Raw genomic sequence first — 19,182 nt, 5'->3', positions numbered from 1 at the left:
CAAGATGGCCGAATAGGAACAGCTCCGGTCTACAGCTCCCAGCACGAGCGACGCAGAAGATGGGTGATTTCTGCATTTCCATCTGAGGTACCGGGTTCATCAAACTAGGGAGTGCCAGAGAGTGGGCGCAGGTCAGTGGGTGTGCGCACTGTGCACAAGCTGAAGCAGGGCGAGGCATTGCCTCACTCGGGAAGTGCAAGGGGTCAGGGAGTTCCCTTTCCTAGTCAAAGAAAGGGGTGACAGACAGCACCTGGAAAATCGGGTAACTCCCACCTGAATGCAGCGCTTTTCCGATGGGCTTAAAAAAGGGTGCACCAGGAGATTATATCCTGCACCTGGCTCAGAGGGTCCTATGCCCACGGAGTCTCGCTGATTGCTAGCACAGCAGTCTGAGATCAAATTGCAAGGCAGCAGTGAGGCTGGGGGAGGGGCGTCCGCCATTGCCCAGGCTTGCTTAGGTAAACAAAGCAGCCAGGAAGCTCAAACTGGGTGGAGCCCACCACAGCTCAAGGAGGCCTGCCTGCCTCTGCAGGCTCCACCTCTGGGGGCAGGACACAAACAAAAAGAAAGCAGTAACCTCTGCAGACTTAAATGTTCCTGTCTGACAGCTTTGAAGAGAGCAGTGGCTCTCCCAGCACCCAGCTGGAGATCTGAGAATGGGCAGACTGCCTCCTCAAGTGGGTCCCTGACCCCTGACCCCCGAGCAGCCTAACTGGGAGGCACCCCCCAGCAGGGGCAGACTGACACCTCACAAGGCCGGGTACTCCAACAGACCTGCAGCTGAGGGTCCTGTCTGTTAGAAGAAAAACTAACAAACAGAAAGGACATCCACACCAAAAACCCATCTGTACATCACCATCATCAAAGACCAAAAGTAGATAAAACCACAAAGATGGGGAAAAAACAGAACAGAAAAACTGGAAACTCTAAAAAGCAGAGTGCCTCTCCTCATCCAAAGGAACGCAGTTCCTCAACAGCAACAGAACAAAGCTGGACAGACAATGACTTTGACGAGCTGAGAGAAGAGGGCTTCAGACGATCAAATTACTCCAAGCTACGGGAGGACATTCAAACCAAAGGCAAAGAAGTTGAAAACTTTGAAAAAAATTTAGAAGAATTTGTAACTAGAATAACCAATACAGAAAAGTGCTTAAAGGACCTGATGGAGCTGAAAACCAAGGCTTGAGAACGACGTGAAGAATGCAGAAGCCTCAGGAGCCGAGGCAAACAACTGGAAGAAAGGGTATCAGCAATGGAAGATGAAATGAATGAAATGAAGTGAGAAGGGAAGTTTAGAGAAAAAAGAATAAAAAGAAATGAGCAAAGCCTCCAAGAAATATGGGACTATGTGAAAAGACCAAATCTACGTCTGAATGGTGTACCTGAAAGTGACGGGGAGAATGGAACCAAGTTGGAAAACACTCTGCAGGATATTATCCAGGAGAACTTCCCCAATCTAGCAAGGCAGGCCAACATTCAGATTCAGAAAATATACAGAATGCCACAAAGATACTCCTCGAGAAGAGCAACTCCAAGACACATAATTGTCAGATTCACCAAAGTTGAAATGAAGGAAAAAATGATAAGGGCAGCCAGAGAGAAAGGTCGGGTTACCCTCAAAGGGAAGCCCATCAGACTAACAGTGGATCTCTCGGCAGAAACTCTACAAGCCAGAAGAGAGTGGGGGCCAATATTCGACATTCTTAAAGAAAAGAATTTTCAACCCAGAATTTCATATCCAGCCAAACTAAGCTTCATAAGTGAAGGAGAAATAAAATACTTTACAGAAAAGCAAATGCTGACAGATTTTGTCACCACCAGGCCTGCCCTAAAAGAGCTCCTGAAGGAAGCACTAAACATGGAAAGGAACTACCGGTACCAGCTGCTGCAAAATCATGCCAAAATGTAAAGACCATCAAGACTAGGAAGAAACTGCATCAACTAACTAGCAAAATAACCAGCTAACATCATAATGGCAGGCTCAAATTCACACATAACAATATTAACTTTAAATGGAAATGGACTAAACGCTCCAATTAAAAGACACAGGCTGGCAAATTGGATAAAGAGTCAAGACCCATCAGTGTGCTGTATTCAGGAAACCCATCTCACGGGCAGAGACACACATAGGCTCAAAATAAAAGGATGGAGGAAGATCTACCAAGCAAATGGAAAATAAAAAAAGGCAGGGGTTGCAATCCTAGTCTCTGATAAAACAGACTTTAAACCAACAAAGATCAAAAGAGACAAAGAAGGCCATTACATAATGGTAAAGGGATCAATTCAACAAGAAGAGCTAACTATCCTAAATATATATGCACCCAATACAGGAGCACCCAGATTCATAAAGCAAGTTCTGAGTGACCTACAAAGAGACTTAGACTCCCACACATTAATAATGGGAGACTTTAACACCCCACTGTCAACATTAGACAGATCAACGAGACAGAAACTCAACAAGGATATCCAGGAATTGAACTCAGCTCTGCACCAAGAGGACCTAATAGACATCTACAGAAATCTCCACCCCAAATCAACAGAATATACATTTTTTTCAGCACCACACCACACCTATTCAAAAATTGACCACATACTTGGAAGTAAAGCTCTCCTCACCAATGTAAAAGAACAGAAATTATAACAAACTATCTCTCAGACCACAGTGCAATCAAACTAGAACTCAGGATTAAGAATCTCACTCAAAACCGCTCAACTACATGGAAACTGAACAACCTGCTCCTGAATGACTACTGGATACATAACGAAATGAAGGCAGAAATAAAGATGTTCTTTGAAACCAACGAGAACAAAGACACAACATACCAGAATCTCTGGGACGCATTCAAAGCAGTGTGTAGAGGGAAATTTATAGCACTGTATGCCCACAAGAGAAAGCAGGAAAGATCCAAAATTGACACCCTAACATCACAATTAAAAGAACTAGAAAAGCAAGAGCAAACACATTCAAAAGCTAGCAGAAGGCAAGAAATAACTAAAATCAGAGCAGAACTGAAGGAAATAGAGACACAAAAAAACCTTCAAAAAATTAATGAATCCAGGAGCTGGCTTTCTGAAAGCATCAACAAAATTGATAGACTGCTAGCAAGACTAATAAAGAAAAAAAGAAGAATCAAATAGATGCAATAAAAAAGATAAAGGGGATATCACCACCGATCCCACAGAAATACAAACTACCATCAGAGAATACTACAAACACCTCTACGCAAATTAACTAGAAAATCTAGAAGAAATGGATAAATTCCTGGACACATACACTCTCCCAAGACTAAACCAGGAAGAAGTTGAATCTCTCAATAGACCAATAACAGGCTCTGAAATTGTGGCAATAATCAATAGCTTACCAACCAAAAAGAGTCCAGGACCAGATGGATTCACAGCCGAATTCTACCAGAGGTACAAGGAGGAACTGGTACCATTCCTTCTGAAACTATTCCAATCAATAGAAAAAGAGGGAATCCTCCCTAACTCATTTTATGAGGCCAGCATCATCCTGATACCAAAGCCGGGCAGAGACACAACCAAAAAAGAGAATTTTAGACCAATATCCTTGATGAACATTGATGCAAAAATTCTCAATAAAATACCAGCAAACCGAATCCAACAGCACATCAAAAAGCTTATCCACCATGATCAAGGGGGCTTCATCCCTGGGATGCAAGGCTGGTCCAATATATGCAAATCAGTAAATGTAATCCAGCATATAAACAGAACCAAAGACAAAAACCACATGATTATCTCAATAGATGCAGAAAAGGCCTTTGACAAAATTCAACAGCCCTTCATGCTAAAAACTCTCAATAAATTAGGTATTGATGGGACGTATTTCAAAATAATAAGAGCTATCTGTGACAAACCCACAGCCAATATCATACTGAATGGGCAAAAACTGGAAGCATTCCCTTCGAAAACTGGCACAAGACAGGGATGCCCTCTCTCACCACTCCTATTCAACATAGTGTTGGAAGTTCTGGCCAGGGCAATCAGGCAGGAGAAGGAAATAAAGGGTATTCAATTAGGAAAAGAGGAAGTCAAATTGTCCCTGTTTGCAGATGACATGATTGTATATCTAGAAAACCCCATTGTCTCAGCCCCAAATCTCTTTAAGCTGATAAGCAACTTCAGCAAAATCTCAGGATACAAAATCAATGTACAAAAATCACAAGCATTCTTATACACCAACAACAGACAAACAGAGAGCCAAATCATGAGTGAACTCCCATTCACAATTGCTTCAAAGAGAATAAAATACCTAGGAATCCAACTTACAAGGGACGTGAAGGACCTCTTCAAGGAGAACTACAAACCACTGCTCAAGGAAATAAAAGAAGATACAAACAAATGGAAAAACATTCCATGCTCATGGGTAGGAAGAATCAGTATCGTGAAAATGGCCATACTGCCCAAGGTAATTTACAGATTCAATGCTATCCCCATCAAGCTACCAATGACTTTCTTCAAGAATTGGAAAAAACTACCTTAAAGTTCATATGGAACCAAAAAAGAGCCCGTATCGCCAAGTCAATCCTAAGCCAAAAGAACAAAGCTGGAGGCATCACACTCCCTGACTTCAAACTGTACTACAAGGCTACAGTAACCAAAACAGCATGTTACTGGTACCAAAACAGAGATATAGATCAATGGAACAGAACAGAGCCCTCAGAAATAACGCCGCATATCTGCAACTATCTGATCTTTGACAAATCTGAGAAAAACAAGCCATGGGGAAAGGATTCCCTATTTAATAAATGGTGCTGGGAAAACTGGCTAGCCATATGTAGAAAGCTGAAACTGGATCCCTTCCTTACACCTTATACAAAAATTAATTCAAGATGGATTAAAGACTTAAACGTTAGACCTAAAACCATAAAAATCCTAGAAGAAAACCTAGGCATTACCATTCAGGACATAGGAATGGGCAAGGACTTCATGTCTAAAACACCAAAAGCAATGGCAACAAAAGCCAAAATTGACAAACGGGATCTAATTAAACTAAAGAGCTTCTGCACAGCAACAGAAACTACCATCAGAGTGAACAGGCAACCTACAAAATGGGAGAAAATTTTTACAACCTACTCATCTGACAAAGGGCTACAGAATCTACAATGAACTCAAACAAATTTAGAAGAAAAAAACAAACAACCCCATCAAAAAGTGGGCGAAGGACATGAACAGACACTTCTCAAAAGAAGACATTTATGCAGCCAAAAAACACATGAAAAAATGCTCACCATCACTGGCCATCAGAGAAATGCAAATCAAAACCACAATGAGATATCATCTCACACCAGTTAGAATGGCAATCATTAAAAAGTCAGGAAACAACAGGTGCTGGAGAGGATGTGGAGAAATAGGGACACTTTTACACTGTTGGTGGGACTGTAAACTAGTTCAACCATTGTGGAAGTCAGTGTGGCGATTCCTCAGGGATCTAGAACTTGAAATACCATTTGACCCAGCCATCCCATTACTGGGTATATACCCAAAGGACTATAAATCATGCTGCTATAAAGACACATGCACACGTATGTTTATTGCCGCATTATTCACAATAGCAAAGACTTGGAACCAACCCAAATGTCCAACAATGATAGACTGGATTAAGAAAATGTGGCACATATACACCATGGAATACTATGCAGCCATAAAAAATGATGAGTTCATGTCCTTTGTAGGGACATGGATGAAATTGGAAATCATCATTCTCAGTAAACTATCGCAAGAACAAAAAACCAAACACCGCATATTCTCACTCATAGGTGGGAACTGAACAATGAGAACACATGGACACAGGAAGGGGAACATCACACTCTGGGGACTGTTGTGGGGTGGGGAGAGGGGGGAGGGATAGCATTAGGAGATATACCTAATGCTAGATGATGATGACGAGTTAGTGGGTGCAGCGCACCAGCATGGCACATGTATACATATGTAACTAAGCTGCACATTGTGCACATGTACCCTAAAACTTAAAGTATAATAAATAAATAAATAAATAAATAAACAACAACAATAAAAAACTAAAGTGTGAAGATAGTTCTGGATTTCAAGAGTAGAATATGAGGATGCATTGCATGAACTTTAAAGGGCCTCTGAATCAGAAAACACACACACACACATTCACGTAGCTATACAAGTTTTTATGGTATAACTGGAGAAATTAAAATATGGCTACATTCTAGTTAATAATACTACATTACTATTGATATCTTTAGTTGGGATCTTGCTCTGGGAGAAAGTTAGAAGTGCTGCCTGAAGATGAAGCCATCTTGATTTGACAAGAATAATTATCCCAACACCCTGTACCTCAAATTCAGCTAGAAAGCATACAAACAGATAGAAAAAAAATCTCCTGTTACTACTGAGATAAACTCTAATTCCCTTAGTATTATCCATGAGTCTACTTGTCTATCACTTCTGACAAACTGCTTCATTATCTTCCCTCTATCCTACACAGGCACCAGGCAAAAGTACAGTGATTCTTGTAGACTGCTATGCTCTTTCATATTTCTACTGTTTTGTTCATGCTGATTTCCCTGCAAAAAAAAAGAAAGCGTTTTTCCTTTCTATATCTAGCAAAAATCTACTTATTTTTTCAGATGTATGAATTTGTTAAAAACTTCTCTACTCCACTCTTGCCACTTTTTGAACTCTCACCTCCCTCTTTCTCACTGTCTCTCTCTCCCCCACTTTATCTCTCTCTTTCTTTCCCCTTTCCCTTCTATTTCCCACTACATATTGAACTCTTCTTAAGGTAGAATTCATGTTTTATTCAGGTTCGCTTTTCCAAAACTGAGCATAATTATTGATATGTGGATTGTCTTTATCTGTTTTGCATTGCTATAATAGAATGTCACAAACTGGGTAATTTAGAAGGAGAAGAATTTTATTTCTCACAGTTCTAGAGGCTGGGAAGTCTAATATCAAGGTACCAACATCTAGTGAAGGCCTTCTTGCTGCATCATCCCATAGCAAGAGGCTTCTGCCTCTGATCCAACTGAGAGACTGAAACTCTTTTATTACTGACATTCATTCATTCATGAAGGTGAAGCTCTCATGGACTAATCACCTGTCAAAAGTCCTACCTCTTAACATTGTTGCATTAGAGATTAAGTTTCCAACACATACTTTTGGGGAACACATTGAATTGAAAGCATGGAAGCTCAACAAATATCTGGTATATGAATTTAGGAAAGAAGAACAGCATGGTCTTTGATATGGTTTGACAGTATTCCCTGCCCCACCCATCTCCCACCAATTTTCACTTGAATTGTATTTCACAGAATTCCCACATGTTGTGGGAGGGACCCAGGGGGAGCCAACTGAATCATGGGGTTTGGTCTTTCCCATGTTATTCTTGTGATGGTGAATAAGTCTTATGAGATCTGATGGGTTTATCAGGGGTTTCTGCTTTTGCTTCTTCCTGATTTTTCTCTGCCGCCACCATGTCAGAAGTGCCTTTCCCCTCTCACCGTGATTCTGAGGCCTCCCCAGCCGTGTGGAACTGCAAGTCCAATTAGACCTTTTTGTCCCAGTTTCTGGTGTGTCTTTAACAGCAGTGTGAAAACAGACTAATACAGTCTTATTATATTCTCAGGTTGCTGACCAGAAGGTGAATTGTTTGGCAAGGTCAATAAGTGAACAAATGAATCAGTAATAGCTAAATCTTAGAACAGAGCCTCCTGATACAGTACCTTATGCAATCATGCTGTCTTCAATCATTTGCATCCATTTATTGACTACCCACAATCTTCTTGAAATAATTTATGGATCTGGGGAAATAGATGAGTAAGACACTATTTTTCTGCTCAAATATCTTATAATCTAGTGGAAACAATAAAACATATCATGCATTTGTAATATCGTAAATGATATCTTAAAATAAAAAATAAAATGTTTGAGAGGTTTATAAGAGAGATTAGTCCAAATTTAGTGTAGAAAATGAAAATTTTTGAGAAAAAATGGTTGCACTGATCTTAAAAGTTGCATAAAATTCAGACAGGTAGGGGGAAAGTAGAAGGAAAATAGGAACAGTAAAGGGGATACCACAGAAATAAGATAAACTGTGGTATGAGATAGGTGGGGAATAAGAGCGAGTGAATACCTCAATCCTTTCTGTCCTACTTGTGAAACTTATATTCTATGAAACACCTTGAATTATCTTTGCTAAAAAAAACAGATATGGTAAGTCACTGACTCAATATCTAATCCTCTGCTTCACCTCATTAACAGAAATCTGTTTTGAGTGTGTCAATTTACCCACCTAAAAACTATTTTTCCATTTCTCTTGAAGATTTGGGTGACCAATATTATGTAAAGTAAAGATGTTAAGAGAAGCCTCCAAGAAAGCTCCTTAAAGGGACTAATTTTGTTAACCCATATTGCCATTTATCTTCCCCCCATTTCCCCTTCTTTCTTCTTGGAAATCAAATATAATGTCTAGAGCTGTAGCCACCATCTTGCTGCCAGGAGGATAAAAATCATGCTCTAAGGTTAGTGGTGCAGGAGGAGCAAAGGAGATTGGATCAGTGACAACATCATGGAACCACTGCTCTCCCTGTAAACTGCCTGCTTCCAGACTTAAGAGACAAGGAAATACCTTTTTATCTTGTTTAAGACACTGTTCTTCATGTTGTAACAGCTAAATTTAATTACTAACAAATATAGTAGAAAATAGGAGTCCATGAAAATATCTGAGAAGCAATGACAGAGGGATCAGATGGGAGACTAGAATGATATTTTAAAAGAAGATAACTTGATTTTGTTAGGGTGCTGTGGTAGAAAGTAGAGAATAAAGCATGTAGAATGTACATTCCATATTTTAACTGAAGAAGAGGCCAAGGGATAAATCAAAGGGAAAATCAAGGATGGAGCTAAAGAGGTTGAAAGGAAGTTGGAAACATTGTCAGACATGGGAAAGTTGAGGACAATTTAATCAGGTACAACAGGGAACAAGTCATTTTATATAAACTGGTGGTGGTAAGCCAATTAGATACCTGTGTGGTGATGTCTATGAGGCTCTCAGACATTTAGGAATGAAGGTAGCAGACAGGTCTGGATTTGAGCTTAACATTTAACATTCATACACACAGACTTAGAGCAACACTCAAACATTATCAAGGGAGAGTGAAAGACAGGAAAAGGAGAGTACTGGTCTTTGAGGAGCAACACCATGAAGAGGCAGCAAGGATGTCCTTTTTCATAGTAAAACCGGAAGAGGTCGGTGTCATGTAACTAAATAAAAAAAGAAAAACAAGTGGTGTTATGTGTCAGTGTACACTTCAGTAAACTTTGATCATATTTAGATTGCAGGCTCTTTGAAAGTAAAGGCTATAGCTTAAAGAATATTTTTAATTACCAAATTTCTTAGCAAAATCCAGTAGATAGTTGGCTCTGAAAAAAATATTTGCAGTTTTGATTTTTCTTGATCCATTTAGGTCAGGGGAAGGCTTCATGCTGTGCAGACAATGAGGCGCTTTTGGGTATTTCCAGACTGCTGATGCTGAACTTTGCATGTAACTTGCTCTGTTCTTTGGGATACTTTAGAAGTGAAGTATAAATATTTAAAAAGGAAAGGGTTATTACTGTGTTCACTTTGATTGATATAAGTGAGGAAGGAAACCTGAAAATTTAAAGATATTCTATATGTTCTCTCTTTGAATCAACTGAAATAGCGTCAACTCTAATCACCTCCAGGTTGCTCTGGTAATGTCTTTTCTAAGGTAAAATATAAAGTAACATGGATATTACATTATTATTTTAATATATGACAAGATTCCAAGAAAAAAATAGCTTATCCCTGCGTACATGTAAGAAATCAGTAAATGTTAAAATAAGCAGATTGCTATAAAAATGAACCTGACTTTTAGCCATAGCAAGTTGCTTCAATTTGTAAATAGCAGAAATCTTTTGGTAAAATGATATGAATTGAAAGTGAGAATTCTCCAGCCTTTTATGAGGAAGACTAACAATGGCACAACCTAAAGTACATATATTTTTATCAGTCTTAGCAAAATTGCACTTAACAGAAGTTTGCATGATTTCTACATCACAACCTAGTCCTCTTTACAACACTAATCTGTTTTTGCACAAGGCTGCTATGCTGAACCCCCTGGTGCTTCCTGACATTATTATTAACTACCACGTTATTCCATCATTTTTTTATGTCTATCTTCTCCAGTGTGCCTGACAGTTTGTGTTAGGCCATTGTCACATTGCTATAAAAAATACCTGAGGCTGGGTAAATTATAAAGAAAAGAGCTTTAATTGGCTCATGGTTCTGCAGTCTGTATAGAAAGAATGGTGCTGGCATCTGCTTCTGGTGAAGCCTCAGGGAGTTTACAATCATGGCAGAGGTGAAGAGGAAGCTGCTGACATTTCACATGGAAGTAGTGGCAGTGAGACAGGGAGAAGTGCCACACTTTTAAGCAACCAGATCTCATGAGACCTCATTCACTAACTTGAAGACATCACCAAGCCATGAGGGATCCACCCCCATGACCAACCAGGCCCCACCTCCAACACTGGGGATGACATTTCAACATTAGATTTGGGAGAGGACAAATATCCAAACTGTATCAGCATAATTTCTACTATAATTTCTAGTATAGACAATTGATATGATTTGGCTGTGTCTTCACTCAAATCTCATCCTGAATTGTGGTTCCCATAATCCCCATGTGTTGTGGGAGGGACCAGGTGGAAATAATTGAATCATGGGGTGGTTCCCCCATCCTGTTCTTGTGTAAAACCCTTTATAAGGGTTTCCCCTTTTGCTGGGTGCTCATTCTTCTCTCTTCTGCTACCTTGTGAAGGAGGACATCTTTGCTTCCCCAACTGCCATGATTGTAAGTTTCCAGAGGCCTCCCCAGCCATGCTAACAGTGAGCTAATTAAACATCTTTCCTTTATAAATTACTCAGTCTCAGATATGTCCTTTATAGCAGCATGAGAATGCACTAATACAGTAAATTGGTACCACAAAGAGTGGGGTGCTCTTGTAAAGATACCCAGAAATGTGGAAGCAACCTTGGAACTGGGTAACAGGCTGAGGTTGGAACAGTTTGCGGGGCTCAGAAGAAGACAGAAAAATGTGGAAAATTTGAATCTTCCTAGAGACTTGGAGGGCTCAGAAGACAGAAGATGTGGAAAAGTTTGGAACTTCCTAGAGACTTTTTTAGTGGCTTTGACTAAAATGCTGATAGTGATATGAACAATAAAGTCCAGGCTGAGGTGGTCTCAGATGGAGATGAGCGACTTATTGGGAACAGGAGTAAAGGTCACGCTTGCTATGCAAAACACTGGTGGCATTTTGCCCCTGCCCTAGAGACCTGGGGAACCTTGAACTTGAGAGACATTATTTAGAGTATGTGGCAGAAGAAATTTCTAAGTGGGCAAGTGTTTAAGAGGAAGAAGAGCATAAAAGTTTGGAAAATTTGCAGCCTGACAATGCAATAGTAAAGAAAAACCCATTTTCTGGGGCGAATTCAAGCCAGCTGCAGAAATTTGCAGAAGTAACAAGAAGCCAAATGTTAGTCAGCAAGACAATAGAGAAAATTCTCCAGGGCATGTCAGAGACTTTCAGAGCAGCCCTTTGTATCACAGGCCTGGAGGCCTAGGAAGGAAAAATGGTTTCCTGGGCTGGGTCCAGGGAAGTCTGCTCTATGCATACTCAGGACATGGTGCCCTGCATTCCAGCTGCTTCAGTTCCAGCCATGGCTAAAAGGGGCCAATGTACAGCTCAGGCCGTTGCTTCAGTGGGTGCAAGCCCCAAACCTTGGTGGCTTACATGTGGTATTGGGCCAGTGGGCACATGCAAGTCAGGAATTGAGGTTTAGGAACCTCCACCCAGATTTCAGAGGATGTATGGAAATGCCTGGATGACCAGGCAGAAATTTGCTACAGGAGTAGAGCCTTCATGGAAAAACTCTGCTAGGGCACTGCGGAAGAGAAATATGGGATTGAAGCCCCCATACAGAGTTGCCACTGGGGCACTGCCTGATGGAGTTATGAGAAAAGGCCTATTGTCCTTCTGACCCCAGAATGGTAAATTCACTGACAGCCTACATTGTGTGCCTGGAAAAGCCACAGACACTCAATGCCAGCCCATGTAAGCAGCCAGAAGGAGGGCTATGCCTTGGAAAGCCACAGGGATGGAGCTTCCCAAAGCTGTGGGTGCCCACCTCTTGCATCAGCATGACCTGGATATGAGACATGGAGTCAAAGGAGATAATTTTGGAACTTTAATGATGGCCCTATTGGATTTCATACTTGCATGGGTCCTGTAGCCCTTTGTTTTTGCCAACTTCTCCTATTTGGAATGGTTGTATTTACCCAATGCCTGTATTACCATTGTATTAGGAAGTAACTAACTTGCTTTTGATTTTACAGGCTCATAGGCAGAAGGAACTTGCCTTGTCTCAGATGAGACTTTGGACTTGGTCTTTTGAGTTAATGCTGGAATGAGTTAAGGTACTTGGGGGACTGTTGGAAGGGCATGATTGTGTTTTGAATTTTGAGGACATGAGATTTGGGAGGGGACAAGGGAGGAATTATGTGGTTAGGCTTAGTGTCCCCACCCAAATCTCATCTTGAATTGTAGTTTCTATAATCTCCATGTGTTGTGGGAGGGAACAGGTGGAGACAATTAAATTATGGGGGTGGTTTCCCCATTTTCTTCATGTGATAGTGAGTTAGTTCTCATGAGATCTGATGGTTTTTTAAGGGGCTTCCCCCTTCACTGGGAACTCATTCTTCTCTGTCCTGCTCCCTTGTGAAAAAGAATGTGTTTGCTTCCCCTTACACCATGATTGTAAATTTCCTGAGGCCTCCCCATCCCTGTGGAACTGTAAGTCAATTAAACCTCTTTCCTTTATAAGTTACCCAGTCTCAGGTATGTTCTTTATAGCAGCTTGAGAACAAACTAATACAATACATAAAAATATAAAGATTTTATCTGTACCACGAAAAAAGTGTTAAAAATATATATTACTTTGATTAACCTCAGAGAAATATTTTGATCTTAAAATTTCCTGAAAGTATTTAGTAGTTATGTGAGGTTCACCCATTCCTGCAGAATAGAAATTAAGAACCCAGAGCTATATTCAAATTTCTGTTCTGATTACTGACTGTATGACCTTAGGCAAGCTGCTTTATCATCTTGTAGCTCAGTTTTCTTATTCACACAATATAGACAAAGCTATACTTACGCTAGGATTTTTGCAAGAATAATTATATGGAAAGTCCTTCGCTAAGACAATTCCTGAATTACAGTAAGCCATCACAAAATATTAGCAATTGTTCTTTAAACATACTTAAGAAATTTCTGCTCATGAAAGTCTATGTATATTTTGCTGTGGGAAATGGAAAGAAAAGACCAAACTTTCTGCTGGTCAGTCCCCAGGCATCACAGACAAGCAGACAGTGATGATGGTAGTAATGCCTCCTTCGAGCTACTTCATTTCCAAAATTCCTAAGTATATACTACCAATTATTTGCAATGCAAAACCGATGCTCATGCAGAGGAAAATGCTGAAACTATTATGTTAATCTTCAAGTAGAATAAATCTCAAGCCCGAATATATATTTCACTTGCATTTTTATTAAAAGTGTTTTTGTTTATTTCTTTTGCCTTGCTTTTGATAGTTCCATAAGAAGTTATTGCCAGTAAATGAGAACACACATGGAGAGTATGCAGAATGTCACTTTTATCAGCAGTTAAAAGAGTAAAAACTTTATATGTTTTGTACAATTATTTAAGTGTGAATCACCAGTTCTTTCTCAATCTATTCAGTGTTCTCTCTAGAGGGATTCTCAGCAGATCTCTTGATGGTTCCAATGCACTATTCTGAAGAAAAAATGGTTTCCACTGGAATTTTATTAAGTCAAACTGGGACAAGCTGAATATAAGTAGAAAATGCTAGAAAATGGGACAAGCTGAATATAAGTAGAAAACGCTAAAATAAAAATGGCATGAAGAATAAAGTCTCAACATGCTCAGTCAGTATTTTTTTAATTATATCTTCTTTAAGTACACAATTTCCTGTACCTTTTAGGAAGATTTCAAAGAGGATATTTAAGTGTATGATCTTTTTGATCTGAAAATTAGCCTGCCATGCAGTAGGCAAAAAATCATTTTCTTTCTTCACATATAGTATATTCATACTGCTTTTGTTTGAAATTGAAATTAGGATGAATACTTACCTTTCTATGTTGTAACTCAAATAATTTTCTTTTTTTATATTTTATTATTATTATACTTTAAGTTTTAGGGTACATGTACACAATGTGCAGGTTAGTTACAGATGTATACATGTGCCATGCTGGTGCGCTGCACCCATTAACTTATCATTTAGCATTAGGTATATCTCCTAATGCTATCCCTCCCCCCTCCCCCCACCCCACAACAGTCCCCAGAGTGTGATGTTCCCTTTCCTGTGTCCATGTGTTCTCATTGTTCAATTCCCACCTATGAGTGAGAATATGCAGTGTTTGGCTTTTTGTTCTTGCGATAGTTTACTGAGAATGATGATTTCCAATTTCATCCATGTCCCTACAAAGGACATGAACTCATCATTTTTTATGGCTGCATAGTATTCCATGGTGTATATGTGCCACATTTTCTTAATCCAGTCTATCATTGTTGGACATTTGGGTTGGTTCCAAGTCTTTGCTATTGTGAATAGTGCCGCAATAAACATACGTGTGCATGTGTCTTTATAGCAGCATGATTTATAGTCCTTTGGGTATATACCCAGTAATGGGATGGCTGGATCAAATGGTATTTCAAGTTCTAGATCCCTGAGGAATCGCCACACTGACTTCCACAATGGTTGAACTAGTTTACAGTCCCACCAACAGTGTAAAAGTGTCCCTATTTCTCCACATCCTCTCCAGCACCTGTTGTTTCCTGACTTTTTAATGATTGCCATTCTAACTGGTGTGAGATGGTATCTCATTGTGGTTTTGATTTGCATTTCTCTGATGGCCAGTGATGATGAGCATTTTTTCATGTGTTTTTTGGCTGCATAAATGTCTTCTTTTGAGAAGTGTCTGTTCATGTCCTTCGCCCACTTTTTGATGGGGTTGTTTGTTTTTTTCTTGTAAATTTGTTTGTTAACTCAAATAATTTTCAATACATGATGGTAAATTCAGTATCCGTGGGCTGTGCCCACCAAATAACAGGGACTAGGTTTGCCTTCATATATCAAATGTATAGACATAATGTTTCAAAGTCAGGAAAACCTTGAAATTTAATGTTTTTTGTCCACAGTGGTTAGATATCCCTTTAGGAAATAAGTCTATTAATGAATATCAGGACTTCAGAAGTAAAAATAAATGGCCCTTTGAACTATGTAATACATAAATTCGTAAACCAAACAAATAAAATATGCAAAAAATGATCATGCAAAGCATAAATGAAAAATGATACATTTATTCATTTTTATAAGACTTACAATATGCCAGGAGGTTTTAGTTGCTGAAGATAAAGTGTTAAATATGAAAAGAACTTGTCCTCCTAGAAATTAGCACTGTAATAACAGTGATGCCTAAAAATGTATATGTACACAGACTTACATCAGTTAAGATGCCTAACTGTATCTTCATGCTTGAAGAAATAATTACTTTGGGATCCTTTCTGTTTTACTATTTCAGTACTTTGAAAAAGCTGTAGGTGTATCTATGTAAAAATAAAAATCAACTAATAGCACTATCTTTAGAATTATGATGTCTAGCATTTAGAAAGTATAAACGACAAAATGTTATAAAGTTGTCAGACATTTTTATGCCTGTTTATGTAGAAATGATTTTAATCTGAGAAGAAGGGCAAAGTCTGGCATAATGACAGAAATAATGGCATGAAATAAATGATATGAAATAAATGGCTATTTAGAACTAAAAATAATGAAATGAGGTGAGTTCTACGAAGATAGTGGGTAATTATCTAAGGGCTAGTGATTAAAATGTAGATGTGATGTCCAAAACTGTAGCAGCCATTTGGGACTATGAAGCAACAATCCTGTGAAAGAAGAGCATGCATGGTGAAAATAGTGGAAATCAACAAACTCATTATTTGTTTAAGCTACTGTTACAGGTTTTTTTCTTATTTGCAGCTGAAGGTATTTTTCATATGACAACTAGCATGAGTGAAAAGCAAAGTTTGGATCAAGAATTTTTCATACCGTGACATGAAGGCTGTTTAACATGATGGTAACAAACCTACACTAGGGTCATGATTTGACTGAAAGAATAACCTGGCTACTAATCCTGCGGGACAGAACAAGAACAGAATGCAAAGATGTGCAGACAGAACAGAAAGCAATAAGCAAGCTTTGCATATACAATTGAAAGTAGTAATTTGCTAAGGTAAAATAATTCAAGAGAAGGCTTTGTCTGTGCTAACGTTGTAAGCATAAGGGGAAAGGGCAACTCTTAGTGCAGTGGTAACTCCTAAACCCTCATTTCATCTCTGTGCTCCACATATCCATCTGTGTAGTTAATCAAGCTTTTCTTTCCCTTATGTGTATTCATTTTTCCTGGTATTAATTCCTATGTAGCATTAATTTGTAACAAGCAATGAACCTTCCGTAAGCATTATTTTCTATCTTGGAAAGAGTAAAATTAATTAACACCTTTGACATTTGAAAAGTATAAAACTTGCCTATGGTCACCAAAATAAGCACTCTTGGGTCTTTATTATCAACATTTTGCTTAGTCCACCTGGTACCTACCTGTAGGTCTATTTTTATCAGAATGTTTAAATAAATAAATTATTTATGTCCTAATTATAAAGAGGTATTATTTCACCAGGTTATTAAAAATGGCCAGAGGAAATATATCAAACTGTGAAGTAAAATCATATTCTTTGACTATAGAAAGATAAAAAGCAGTTTTTGAAAGGAATAAAAGGGAATGGTACAGTTTAGGGAAGTAACATACAGATATAGATAAAAGACATAATTAAAACTAAAACAGAAAAACTAGGAAAGATCCTTAAAAAACAGTATGCTGTATTCTAGAGAGAATTTTAGAAAAAATACAGCAGCATAAAAAAAACAGCATAACAAATATCTCTTCAGTTCATCCTTACAAAGCAAACATTGAATGAATTTAGATTTTGTAAATTGCTTCAAGCCTTTACATTGAATTATTTTACAAGAATTAAGAATATTGCAAATATTATATAATTTTAGTAGGATACATATTTTAATGTAAAGTCCCTCTGCTATAGTTTAGTTTGTTTGACTCTCCCAAATCTCATGTTGTAATTGGATCGCTAGTGTTAGAGGTGGGGCCCAATGGGAGGTGTTTTCGTCATGGGGGTGGATCCCTTATGAATGGGTTGGTGCCATCCTAATGGTAATGAATGAGTTCTCACTCTCTTAGTTCTTGCGAGAGCTATTTATTAAAAACAGTGTGTCACCTCCCTTCTCTCCTTCTTGGCTTTCTTTTTTGCTATGTGGTCTGTGCATGCACTGGCTTCATGAGTGGAAGCAGCCTGACACCCTCACCAGAAACAGATGCTGGCACTATGCTTCTTGCACAGCCTTCAGAATCATGAGCCAAATAAACCTCTTTTCCTTATAAATTACCCAGCCTCAGGCATTCCTTTGCAGCAACACAAAGGAGCTAAGACACTCTCTTTCAGGACTATTGCCAATGATCTGGCTTTTTCCTAGAAATGTAGCAAAGTAAAATCAATTCCAAGTCCCCAGTTTATTGATTTTTTCCTTGTGCTACATATATACTTTCCTGTTACACATCCTCCAGATTGGCCAGGATTTAGTGAAGGGGACAGAAATGTAATATATCTGTTCAAAAAAAAGCTTTCCATTTTAGATTCAATGCCATTTGAGAATAATACTAAATTCCTAGACACTGCATCTTCTTCTCTTTTCAGTACATTTAGCTAAAAGGGATAGTGGTGGTATTAAATACAAGGTAACATGGGGTTCTGAAAAATATCTAACTCACAGGCAATTAATTAGAAGGTAAAGAAAATAGTCTTCCCTTTTATAGCATCTGCCAACCCGAAATGGGTTGGTACTATTTGCCTTCATGTGTGTCCCTTAGTCATTAAAAAAGAATTTCATTTTACTCGATAAGGACCAAATTATGAAATTATGTTTTATGATTTGGGGAAAACAAATTAAACCACTTACAACTTACAAAAATGTGCAAGATTATTTTCTTGTAAAAAATGTTGATCCTATAGTTATTTGTAAACTGCAGGAAAATGCAGATAGAAAACAAAGTTTAAAAACAGCAAATAAATAGTTTGTTTCACCACATGAAATTCTATGCATTATTTAAATTATTTGATGTGGAGCTCATTTGTTGATCAAGAAAGACATATATTATATTTTAAGTAAAAAATTAAGCTTAATGTCATAAAAATCCATTTTTATTGAAATGAGTTTTTGTATGTGGAGTTTCTACATCAGTGAAATGCACAGGGGGAAAAGTGTAGAATGATACACAGCAATTGTAACAATACTGTTTTTTAAGGGATGTGATTTTTATGGACATTTTTTATTTTCTTCCTTGTCTTTTGTTTTTGACTTTGATAATGGCAGATAAAAATATTATTTTTAAAAAATAATATCGTAGAACTTTAAATTTAGAACTTTATCAGTCCCATCTTCTACCTAATAAATTAGAAGTTTATCCAGTTCCATCTTCTACCTAGTATTAAGATGCCTTCTGTAGTATTCCTATCATATGATAACTCAGATCCTAGTTCAATACCTCTAGGCAAATGTGGTTTACTTAATTTCTAGGCGGGCTAAATAGAAAGCTTCTATCATGGGAAATGTCTAATTTTTTATATTTAAATTCAGGTCTCCCTGTTTATAACTCCTCTTTGGCTCTCCTTGTCTTCTACAAGTGGGTCTAACAGGCTTATTCCTTCTTTTAGAAAGCAGGCTCCCCAATACTTAGGACAACTTTACACTCCAACTCCTTCTTTTTTCATGACTCTTTGATCTCTTGGCAGAGGCAGATGGTGTAAGGGTGTAATGAAGGGCAAGTAGATCAATCAAGATTTTTGCTGCTTGAATAGATTATCTGTTTCCGTGAACAAGCTGCCAGTTGGCCCCTCTTCAAGGACTGCATTCCCTATAAGCAGGTCTCCCATGGGTTCCTTCAGGAGGCTGGGGATGAGGGC

General features: G+C 38.5%; 1 long non-coding RNA gene across 1 annotated transcript in view, besides 3 other annotated features; it reads right to left on the bottom strand.

The window, feature by feature from the left end:
- Positions 1-19,182, bottom strand: part of LOC105377862 (uncharacterized) — a 322,839-nt gene that overhangs the window by 191,570 nt on the left and 112,087 nt on the right. The window lies entirely within an intron of this gene.
- Positions 6,473-6,642: an enhancer, noted in NCBI's record as "experimental_94782 CRE fragment used in MPRA reporter constructs". NCBI's record gives its function as "activates a minimal promoter by MPRAs in K562 erythroleukemia cells, with activity observed for both the introgressed and non-introgressed 6:77609379 or rs72674552 variant alleles {active_cell/tissue: K562}" and the evidence as "EXISTENCE:reporter gene assay evidence [ECO:0000049][PMID:34662402]".
- Position 6,557: a transcriptional cis regulatory region, noted in NCBI's record as "Neanderthal adaptively introgressed variant 6:77609379 (GRCh37/hg19 assembly coordinates) or rs72674552 in the experimental_94782 CRE". NCBI's record gives its function as "modulates activity of the experimental_94782 enhancer by MPRAs in K562 erythroleukemia cells {active_cell/tissue: K562}" and the evidence as "EXISTENCE:reporter gene assay evidence [ECO:0000049][PMID:34662402]".
- Positions 10,104-10,273: an enhancer, noted in NCBI's record as "experimental_94761 CRE fragment used in MPRA reporter constructs". NCBI's record gives its function as "activates a minimal promoter by MPRAs in K562 erythroleukemia cells, with activity observed for both the introgressed and non-introgressed 6:77605748 variant alleles {active_cell/tissue: K562}" and the evidence as "EXISTENCE:reporter gene assay evidence [ECO:0000049][PMID:34662402]".

The sequence above is a fragment of the Homo sapiens genome, chromosome 6 (genome assembly GCF_000001405.40).
Source record: "Homo sapiens chromosome 6, GRCh38.p14 Primary Assembly".
NCBI lineage: Eukaryota > Metazoa > Chordata > Mammalia > Primates > Hominidae > Homo > Homo sapiens.
The sequence above is the reverse complement of the archived record's forward strand: the minus strand, read 5'-3'. Positions and strand labels throughout refer to the sequence as shown.